Source organism: Homo sapiens, chromosome 14 (assembly GCF_000001405.40).
Source record: "Homo sapiens chromosome 14, GRCh38.p14 Primary Assembly".
Taxonomy (NCBI): Eukaryota; Metazoa; Chordata; class Mammalia; order Primates; family Hominidae; genus Homo; species Homo sapiens.
Window position 1 is genome coordinate 27,639,823 of NC_000014.9, and position 12,324 is coordinate 27,652,146.

Genomic DNA, 12,324 nt, shown 5'->3' on the forward strand with positions numbered 1-12,324 from the left:
GATATGAGTAAATCTTTTAAATAACTAGGGGCGAATTTTGCTCCAATCCACCTATATGAAAATATTTATCATTTTTAAAAAGGCAATTCTCTCAGCTTAGACAAAATAAAACCCATCTTTACAAAAGATACAAAAAAAAATTCGTTGGATGTGGTGGCATGTGCCTGTGGTCCCAGCTACTCAGAAGGCTGAGTGGAGACGAGAAGATCACTTGCACCCACATGGGTTGAGGCTCCAGTGAGCCAAATTCTTGCCTCTGCACTACAGCCTGGGTGACAGTGAGATCTGCAGAAAGATGAGATGCTCTTCCAAGCAAGTAATAGATCTTTGGGTTGCAGATATTGGCAGAACATTGGCATATTCTGGGACCTCAAGCATTTGATACCCAAGAAAATATAATTTTAATGTATGCTTTCTAATGTCTCTGCGGATATCACCATGAGGTGCTAACTTTTTATATCAGATATTATAACTTTATTATTGTATTATACCAAGTTGACATTATTGCTATATTTTCTTTTATTGATTTCAATACTATAATTATATGTTTGCATCCAGTAAGAATAAATATGGGAAATTTGAATTTTCATTATGTGATTTTTCTCCTCACTATTTCAATTTAGTTTAATTTACTCAAAATTGTCTTAGAGAACAATCTAAAAAACATTTCATACTGCACTTTTGGTTGGCTGTGCTGATTTTATTTTTCAACAATTTTCAAAAATGTTTAAGAGTGGTACCATAAATAATTAATAGGAAAAATAATAATGGCCTCATTGTATTAATACAAAATTATTGCTGAATTTGATGACTATATGAAATTTAGGTTTATTTTCTAAAAAGATAGTTTACTGATTATTCTACCAATAGCTTTGTTTTTAACATGAAAAAGGGAAACTGTATCTTACAAAGGACCAAAGAATATTGATCTGGAAAATCTAGATGTAGATGACAATAAGGCATTTTATGTGCTTAGTTTAGATTTTCCTCATCTTCATAGCATACAGTTATTTAACATTTCACACACAAAAATTTTGAGTGTCACTTACTTTTGAAATAACTTAAACCATTTACATTTATTGTTATGAGGCTGTTTTGTTTTAATTATCTTATTTATTTATTTATTATACTTTAAGTTCTGGGGTACATGTGCAGAATGTGCAGTTTTGTTACATAGGTATATACGTGCCATGGTGGTTTGCTGCACCCATCAACCCATCACCTACATTAGGTATTTCTCCTAATGCTATCCCTTCCATAGCCCCCCACCCCTGACAGGCCTCGGTGTGTGATGTTCCCCTCCCTGTGTCCATGTGTTCTCATTGTTCAACTCCCACTTATGGGTGAGAACATGTGGTGTTTGGTTTTCTGTTCTTATGTTAGTCTGCTAATGCTTTCTTACTGTATTCTTCCTTTTACTGTGCACATTTTAAGGTTTCTGGTATGTTTTCCACTTATTTTATTATCTCTTTTTTAAAAAATGAATTACTCCTAAACAGCATATGCAAAAATGTGATTTTTCGCAAAGAATTTCGTACTATTTTCTTCATGTTTTTCTCTCATTCCTTATTATTCTAGTATATTTCAGAGCCTATTACCATAATTTTTATATAACATGGTTTATATTCTATAAATCATACATTACATAATATTTCTACATTATTTTTATCCTTTCAAAAACAAAGACCAGGTGTGGAAACTCATGCTGTAATCCCAGCACTTTGAGAGGCCAAGGAGGGAGAATGGCTTGAGGCCAGGAGTTCAATACCAGCCTGGGCAACATAGCAAGACCTTGTCTCTACAATAAAATAATTTAAAAAAATTAGCCTTACATAGTGTCATGCACATAGTGTCAATACTACATGCAGGCAAGTAGTATTCCTAGTTACTTGAGGGGCTGATGCAGGAGGATCACTTGAGCCCAGAAGTTTGAGGCTCTAAGAGCTATAATCACACTACAACACTCCAGCCTGGGTGACAGAGGGAGACCTTTTAGGGAGACCTAAAAAAAAATAAAAATAAAGCACTAAAATCTATTTCACCTTTCCATTTATTTACCTAGGAACAAAGAAACTTGTATTTACTTTACCATTGGTCCTTTTCCAATAGGATCATTATTAAATTTATTTTGCTTCGTTCATTCTGGTTTCTGTTGCAGAGTCATAAATTTTAATTCTTCAATAAAAATTGTTAAACTATCTTGAAATTATTTCTGATGTAAGTCAACACCACTTTTTTATTCGTTTTTATGTTGTTCCTGTGTTTTCTGCTCCAAGTTGAGGCCACATACCTTATATAATATTTAATTATTTAAAAGTTTGGTAAAATAATATATTTGTGATAAAACATTTCACAATCTTTTTCTGGGTAATAAAAATATGTCTATTATTGTCACAAAATTTTAGAAATCATATACACATATATGTATATACTTATATATAATGTGGGCATTTGTTTTTGTGGTTAATGTCATTTTAGTATTTCTGTTATCATTTTCTGAAATTAAAACTATGATACCATAGTGAGCATATTTTATAATAGGGCTAAGGGTTACTATATTTTCCCTTTTGTCCATATGGAATATTAATACAGCCATATCGCAGGCATATTATGGGTTTGCTCCCAGACCACTGAAGTAAAGTAAATATTGCAATGAAGTGAGTCACACAGTATTTTTGGTTTCTCAGTGCAATAAATGTTATATTTACCCTATAATGTAGTCTATTAAGTGTGCAATAACATTTTATCTTAAAAATGTATATAATTTAAAACTACTTTATTGCTAAAAAATGCTACTAATCATCAGAGCCTTCAATGAGTCATAATCTTTTTTGCTGGTGGTGGATCTTGCCTTGTTCATGACTGCTGACTGATCAGGGTGATGATTGCTAAATTTTGGGTGGCTGTGGCAATTTCTTTAAACAACAATGCAGTTTGCTGCATTGATTGCTTCTTTTTTTATGAGAGATTTTTCTGTAGCTTATGATGCTGTTTGGTCACATTTTCATCCACAGTAGAACTTTCAAAATTGGAGTCAATCTTCTCAAACCCTGCTACACCTTTATTAACTAAGTTTATGGCATGTTCTAAACCCTTTTCTGTCATTTCAACAATGTTTATAACATCTTCACTAGGAATAGATTCCATTTCAAGATACCACTTTTTTTTGCTCATTCAAAATAACTCCTTATCCATTTAAATTTCATAAGATTGTAGCAATTTATTCATATCTTAAGATGCCATTTAATTATAGTTCTCTTGTTATTTCTACCACATTTGCAGTTACTTTCTCTGCTAAAGTCTTGAACCCCTCAACATTATCCATGAAGGTTGGAGTCAACTTCTTCTAAACTCCCATTTATGTTAATATCCTGTCCTCTACCAATTAATCATGAATGCTCTCAATGACATCTAAAAATGATTAATTCTTTTCAGAAGGATTTCAATTTCTTTTCCCAGATCTATCGGAGAAGTTAGTATCTATGGCAACTATAGCCTTGCAGGATGTATTTCTTAAATAAAACAAGACTTGAAATTACTCCTTTATCCATGGCTACAGTTATAAGACTTGAAGTTCAAAATTACTCCCTGATCCATGAACTGCAGATGAGTGTTCTGTTAGCACACATGAAAACAACATTAATCTGTACATCTACATCAGAGCTCTTGGATGACCAGGTGCACTAATGGTCATATCAATGAGCAGTAATATTTTTAAAGAAATCTTTTTTTTTTCCTGAGCAGTAGGTCTCAACAAAGGGCATAAAATATTCAGTAAACCATGTTGCAAACAGATGTACTATCATACAGGCTTGTTGTTTCATTTATGGAGAATAGGTAGAGAAGATTTACTGTAATTCTTAAGGGCCTTAGGAACTTCAGAACGGTTAATGAGCATTGGCTTTAAATTCAATAAAACTGCATTATTCCCTAACCAGAGATTCAGCCTGTCCTTTGAATCTTTGAAGCCAGGCATTGACTTCTACTCCCTAGCTATGAAAGTTCTAGATGGCAGTTTCTTCCAATATAAGAATGTTTTATCTACATGGAACATCTGTTGTTTAGTATAGCCATTGTCATCATGACATTAGTAAGATACTGTGAATAACTTCCTGCAGCTTTACATCAGCACTTGCTATGTCACCTTGCACCTTTATGTTATGGAGATCACTTCTTTGATTAAGCCTCATGAATGTACCTCTGCTAACCTGCAATTTTTCTTCTGCAGCTACTTCACCTCTCTCAGCCTTCATAAAGTTATACTTAAGGCTTTTCTCTAGATTAGGCATTGGCTTAAGGGAATGTTGTGACTGATTGATCCTCTATCCAGACCACTAAAACTTTCCCAATAACAGCAACAAGGATGTTTCACTTTCTTATCACTTATGTGTTAACTAGAATATCACATTTAATTTCCTTCATGAGCTATTTCCTTGCATTCACAACTTAATTAAATGTTTGGAACAAGTGGCCTAGCTTTGGGCATATCTCATCTTTCAACATGCCTTCCTCACTAAGCTCAATCATTTCTAGCTTTTGATTTAAACTGAGACATGCAACTCTTTCTTTCACTTGAACCCTTAGATGCCATTCTAGAATAATTAAATTGCCTGAATTTCAATATTGCTGTGTCTCTGGAAATACAGATGCATGAGGAAATGGAGAAAGGCAGAAAAAAAAAAAAAGGCTGATCGTGGAGCAATCAGAGCAGACAAAACATTTATTAAGTTTGTCATATCGTGTAGACATGTTTCATGGTGCCCTAAAACAATTACAATATTAATAACAAAGAGAAGTAATCAAGAGCACTCTGCCAGATATATACTAATAAAAAAGTTTGGAATATTATAACAATTAATAAAATGTTTCTAGGAGACTCAAAGTGAGCACATGCTGTTGGTAAAATGATGCTAACAGTCTTGCTTAATGTAGGGTTGCCACAATTTTCAATTTAAAAAATGCTATTTGCAAAGTACAACAAAATGAGATATGCCTGTATATAAATATCCAAATATTCTCATTTAAATATTTGTCTCGTAGTTTCTTTCCAGTTCCTGCATGGTGCCATGTGCAAAGTAGTTGTTCCTTAAATAATTTTGAATAAATGATCTAACGACCTATGAGAAGTCATTAAATAACTTTAGTTAATGAAGTTATAGAAGTCAATAAATAATAAATAAGTTATCCTTAAATAATTTTGAATAAATTATTTAATGACCTATGAGGAGTATGGAATACAAAATTCATAGTAAAAAAAGATACAGCAAGTAGGTCAAATCATAAAATATATGGTAAGATGACTCAAAGATAATAAATAGAACTCAACTCAACTCAAAGATAATAAATAGATATAGGAGGGAAGATATAGCAAGTAGGTCAAATCACAAGATATATGGTAAAACAGCTCAAAGAAAATAAATAGAACTCCTTTTAATAATAGGTTAGGTAAGGGAGTGATATAATTAAATTAATGTTTTATGTAAATTATCCTGTTCAAATTGACAGTACTGGAGAAAGGTGATCATTGGGAGGTGAGCATAATTTTCATAAAAATTGATGCAGGGCCAGACAGAAGAGATGTTGAAACTATTTAGAATATAGAATTGTTAGTATTTGCCAACTTTGTGTGTGTGCAAGGGATGAAGGAGAGAAGGAATCAAAGATACTATCAGAGTTTCACGATATGGCTATTCACTAGCACTGGGAATTTGAAAATCATCTTCTCATAATTTTATTGATACTTGTCTGACAAGTGAAATAAGAGGGGTATATGTAGAATTAGAATGCACATGATACACTGCCAACAAAGTTTTCCATGTTTTTAACACAGCATGTATCAGTATATTATTTGACATCAAAGATAAATTGTATTAATGCAAGGCATTTGTATGTTGGAGTTATTCACCATTCATTGTTGCTTACTGGAATTTCTGCCCTTCAAAAGAATATTGATAGCTTTTACAAAAATAAAGTAAATATAATAAATTAGGCTTGGCCAAATTATCAAAATCTCTTTAAGATATTGGCAAGAAGTAGATTTGTGAACTGTCTTTTAAAAATTTGTCTGACCATTTATTTATTTCTGAGTCTTTATAAATACGTTGTCGGAACCTTGAAAAAGTTATCTCATGAAATATTAGCCATAAATTAAAACCACCTTGTCATTAGATATTTCTAATACCTAAGTGATTTAACATTGTTCCTTCTATATATTCCTTCAATATACCACATTCTATGGTATTCCATTCATTTGAATACCAACTTGATTCTTTTTTCTGTTCTTCATTATAAACTCTTGACTATTTTATTTTCACTGAATAATTAGTTTATTTCGGTACATGAGAATAACATAATTTTCTTGCATGGCATATTTATCTTATTGGGCTTAGAATTGCTGGTTTAGTGGTTTCTCAGATACACTTTAAAAGACAAAATTCATGGAAATGCTTTTCTATTTCGTGGGTTTATTTTCTAATTGGGTCAATTTGGACAAGTCTCTTAAGCTCTCATACTTCATTCCTCTTATCAAAAGCAAACAAAAACCAAGAAATAAAGCTAAATAAATAATTATCTCTAAAGCTAAAATTCAAAGGATATGATTATACTATGTATTTTACACTTTTTATAGCTATAAAAATCAATGTTCATATTTTCAATCTGTCATTTTTTAAGAAATACGAGTCCAATTATTACTGACTTAATTGATTTACATATTATCTTGGATGTTTGAAAGGAAATACATAGAAAAAATAAGTGCATTTATTGTTCTATAAATATATGAAAGATAACAATAGAAATTAATGAGATAATGCCTATCTAACCTATTCCAACTTTTCAATTCAGTCAATTAATGAAATATCTAAGCTGTACAATCTATGAAAAATGTCTCATTTTCTTTCTTGTTTTGATTCCTTCATTTTGTTTAATTTTTTTAGCAGATGATTATTGAAATATGACAGGATACTTAAGAAATAATAAAGCAACTATATTTAAAGACAAATACAATAGCTTTCTTTAGCTCATAGCTGTGTGATCAGAAACTCAGGAAAATTTTATATTTTAAAAATTATTTTTCCCTAGTAGGTGATGTTTATAAGTGAAATGGTACCTAAGCATACTATGATTTGTAGAAATTTAAGTCATTATTCTCAAACAACGGATTTTACTGACTCAAAGTCTCTTTTAAAATATTTAAATTAAGTATTTAAATATTTAAAATACATAACTCAAAATATATTTTGAAAGGCTAAATATCTGATAATGGGCAGAGTAAAACACACATGTCATAATGCATGTGAAAAGATTACTAAGGTTTCACCATATAATTAATTACATCAATTAAACAAACATTTATTGAGTGACTACTATTTTCCAGGCACTGTTATTAAAAAATAATAGAATAAAATGTTAATATCCTGAGGTAACCAGTCAATTAATCAATAATAGAATGGAAAAAATTATGAATTATATTTCTGATAAGGGTCTAGTATCTATAATATATATTTAAAAATCTCTTACAATTCAACAGCAACAACCAAAAAGTCAATCTAAAAATGAACATAGGAAATGAAAGACATTTTCTAAGGAAGATATGCAAATGGACAAAAAACACATACATGATCAACGTCATAGACATTAGGTAAATGCAAATAAAATCCATAATGTCATAGGTGGGAATTGAACAATGAGATCACATGGACACAGGAAGGGGAATATCACACTCTGGGGACTGTGGTGGGGTGGGGGGGTGGATAGCATTGGGAGATATACCTAATGCTAGATGACGAGTTAGTGGGTGCAGCGCACCAGCATGGCACATGTATACATATGTAACTAACCTGCACAATGTGCACATGTACCCTAAAACTTAAAGTATAATAAAAAAAAATCCATAATGAGATGCCTCCTCCTACTTGTAGGAACAAGTAGGCTATAAATGACACAAAACTTAAAAATAATCAGAACACAGTTAAAAATTAAACTGTTGATATATGTAAGACACTGCAGAATCCACATTTTTTTCTAGTCTACACGTCAAACATTTAGCAGAGTTGACCATATATTGGGCCATAAAAAAGCTTCAACAAGATTTTTAAATTTTAAATCATAAAGGCAATTCTTTGACTACGATGAACTTAAACTAGAATACAAAAGGAAACCAAAAAATAAAAAAAATCCTCCAAATTTTTGAGATGTAAGTAGTAACATTTGACATAACCCATGGATCAACATAAAAAAAATACAAATCAGAAAAATTGAGCTGAGTAATAATAAAAATAAAACATAATAAAAAGACGTAATGCAGATAAAGGCATTCAGAAGATAAATTTATAGCTTTTCCTATGTGTATCAAGAAAAAAATTGCTGAAAATCAATTATGTATTCATCTTTAGGAGTTAAGATTGCATCTAGAGGAAACAGGCAGAACAGAGTAACGGAATTAGAACAGAAATTGATAAAACTGTCAAGCAAATCATTATCAAAAAAGTGAATAAAACAAATGTGTAAAAGAGAAATTAGATACAAAAGTTGAAATTTGAAAAATTAATGCAATCTCTAGAAAGACTTATCTAGAAAGAGAAAGTGGGAGAGAGAAGATTCAAAGGAGGACTTCGTTAATGCAAAAAAAACAAGCATCATTGTAGCTTCTAGAGATGTTAAACAAATAATACTATTATTAATCTATTTATTTGTTATACAATACAATAGATTATATGATATATAATGATAATTATAGACTATATGTTATATAACGGTAATTACATGCCATTAACATATTTGTCATGAGTTCAGCTGAGCTGAGAGAGTCAGAGTAAGCTGTAACTCAGGTGGCTGAAGTAGCTCATTACAGCAGTAAGCCTAAAGGACACATGTACCCCCTAAATTTATACAAATAAAATTTAAAGAATAAATGTACAGCTTATTTTGCAATTGCTTTTGATGTTTTAGTCATGAAGTCTTTGCCCATGCCTATATCCTGAATGGTATTGCCTAGGTTTTCTTCTAGGGTTTTTATAGTTTGGGGTTTACATTTAAGTCTTTAATCCATCTTGAGTTAATTTTTGTATTAAGGTGTAAGGAAGGGTCCAGGTTCTGTTTTCTGCATATGGCTAGCCAGTTTTCCCAGCACCATTTATTAAATAGGGAATTCTCTCCCTATTGATTGTTTTTTTTCAGGCTTGTCGAAGATCAGATGGTTATAGATGTATGGTGTTATTTCTGAGGCCTCTGTTCTGTTCCATTGGTCTATATATCTGTTTTGGTGCCAGTACCAAAGGCCAAAGTTGACAAATGGGACCTAATCAAACAAAAGAGCTTCTGCACAGCAAAAGAAACTATCATCAGAGTGAATAGGCAACCTACACCATGGGAGAAAATTTTTGCAATCTACCCATCTGACAAAGGTCTAATACCCAGAATCTACAAGGAACTTAAACAAATTTACAAGAAAAAACAAACAACCCCATCAAAAAGTCAGCAAAGGATATGAACAGACACTTCTCAAAAGAAGACATTTATGCCGTCAACAAACATATGAAAAAAAGCTCATCATTACTGGTCATTAGACAAATGCAAATCAAACCACAATGAGATACTGTCTCACGCCAGTTAGAATGGCAATTATTAAAAAGTCAGGAAACAACAGATGCTGGTGAGACTGTGGAGAAATAGGAATGCTTTTACACTGTTGGTGGGAGTGTGAATTAGGTCAACCATTGTGGAAGACAGTGTGGCAATTCCTCAAGGATCTAGAACCAGTAATGCCATTTGACCCACAAATCCTATTACTGGATATATACCCAAAGGAATATAAATCATTCTACTTAAAGACAAATGCACACGTATGTTTCTTGCAGCGCTATTCACAATAGCTAAGAGTTGGAATCAACCAAAATGCCCATCAATGACAGACTGGATAAAGAAAATATGGCACATATATACCATGGAATACTATGCAGCCACAAAAAAGGATGAGTTCATGTCCTTTGCAGGGACATGGATGAAACGGGAAGCCATCATTCTCAGCAAACTAACACAGGAACAGAAAACCAAACACTGCACGTTCTCACTCATAAGTGGGAGTTGAACTTGAGAACACATGGACACAGGGAGGGGAACATCACACACTGGGGCCTCTCAGGGATGAGGAGCAAGGTGTGGGGGGAGAGCACTAGGACAAATACCTAATGCATGAGGGGCTTACCACCTAGATGACAGGTTCACAGGTGCAGCAAACCAGCATGGAATATGTATCCCTATGTACCAAAACTGCACATTCTGCACATGTATCTCAGAACTTAAAGTAAAATTTAAAAAATATAAAAATATAAAAAATAAATGTACAGGTTAAAAAATAAACAAAAAATACAAAAAAAAAAAAAACACACCACCACTACAAAGCAATAAGCCAAAAATGAATGGGTTAAGCCCTTTATCACTTATTGTGGTGGTATAAGCAACACCCTAAATCCAGCGAAAGCTCCAACTTCCCCATTTCCATCTTCCCACATGAAATGATGCATATTCCAGGGTAGGGTGGATGAGCGCAGATTTGGCGTTTGTCCCACTGCAAGGAGATCTTCAAGGAAAAGTCTCTAGCACTATTATGGACTATGGCAGGGATGTTAGAGTGCAGGGGGCAATAGGAGTAAAAAAAATACTGGAGATTGTATCAGTGAGAAAAAATGTCTTTAATGTTTTCCTCTCCTCCTACTATCAGGAGGCCTGTTCAGAAGAGCCCGAGAAAGACCTCTGCCCAAGGCCTCAGATAAAGGTCCCTAAGTATCAGAGCACCACCAGACCAGTAAGGTAAATATGTGAAATACTATGATTGGCCAGGGTGCTGATATCTTGACTGTAGCTTCCTTTAGAGGTTGCAGTGCACTAGCTGCACTAGTTGTGGTGTGGGAAGGGCAGCTTTCCTAGCTTTACCTGCCTTTCATTTAAAACTTCTGAAATTATCTATGGTGAGGTCTGAAAGATCACTCATAGGTTTATCACCAGGAACTGGACTTGACATTGAGCAATTTACTGCCCATATATTTTGGAAGATAAAAGCAAATTCCTAGAAAGTACAGTTTTCAAAGTTGACACAAATAGTATAGTTAAGCAGTTCTGTATTTATAAAAGAAATTGAATTCATATTTTTAAATATTTCAAAAAAGTAATCTATTGGCCCAGGTTGACTTTATCAGCAATTTCTTCCAAATAGTTAAAGAAGAAGTAAAAGTATTCAAACAAAATTCTTAGAATAACAATAACATAAGAAATAAATCTCATCTTTAAAAAAAATCGGGTCATCATTATCTTAACAACAAACCGGACTAGGATACAGTCAGCGAAACAGATAAATTCTAAGTTGACTTCTATCAAAAACACAGATAAATAAAATCCCAAACAAAATATTAGTAAGTCAAATCCAATAACACATGAAAATCAAGACCAGAAACACTTAATCTAGGATTTTAGAATTGGTTTAACAATAGAAATTAAATGTTTGCAATTTATCATATTAAAAGTATAAGAAAGGAAAGTTTTATGTACTCAAATACAGGAAAAGACAGTAATTTTCAAAGTTATATGTCTATTCATTGTAGAAGCTACTAATCAGAAATAAAATAAAACTTTCTTATTCAATAAACAGCACCTAGAAATCTCTACAAAAAATCATACTTAATTTGGAAATATTGGATGTTTCTCCTGTGATTAGGAATGAGAAAAAGATGCTTGTTATCACCACTTCAACTAACATTGTATTCACAGTGCAGTAAGGAGAAGGAAGACAGAAGGAGGAGACAGAAGGAAGAAAAATAGAAGGAAGAAAAAAAGATTGTCATTATATTCATGTGATGCAACTGTCCCTTGACGATAAGTCTTAAGATAGATACAAAGCTTTTTAGTAAATAAAGTGAGTGATTGTGATTATTATATGAGATAGACACAATTAGAAATTGAATACAGCTAATCTAGAAATGACAAGATCAAAATACAAGTGAGTTTTTACATGAAAGAGGAAGAGAAATAGTGTGGGGGCATCAGTGCAGGCCCCAAGCAAATCTGAAATAATTGCTATCCAGAAGAATTATCAAAATCCAGTTGAATATTTTGGATTCACTGGGAAGCTTTGGTAAGGAAATATGGCATATAAAACAAATCATGATATTCAGAATTCAGTTAGGCCCTCTTCATTTCACAAAATTTGCATCTAACATAAGTAATGAGGGAATTACTTATTTTAAACACCAAACTCTCATGTTAATCATTTTAAAAGTCAAGGTTTTTTATTTTATTTTATTTTTTCAATTAGCTACATACTGTCTGGCC

At 32.5% G+C, this 12,324-nt stretch overlaps 1 long non-coding RNA gene across 2 annotated transcripts in view; it reads right to left on the bottom strand.

Moving 5' to 3' along the window:
• MIR3171HG (MIR3171 host gene) overlaps positions 1-12,324 on the bottom strand; it is a 351,396-nt gene that overhangs the window by 317,997 nt on the left and 21,075 nt on the right. The gene's annotated exons all lie outside the window — the stretch shown is intronic.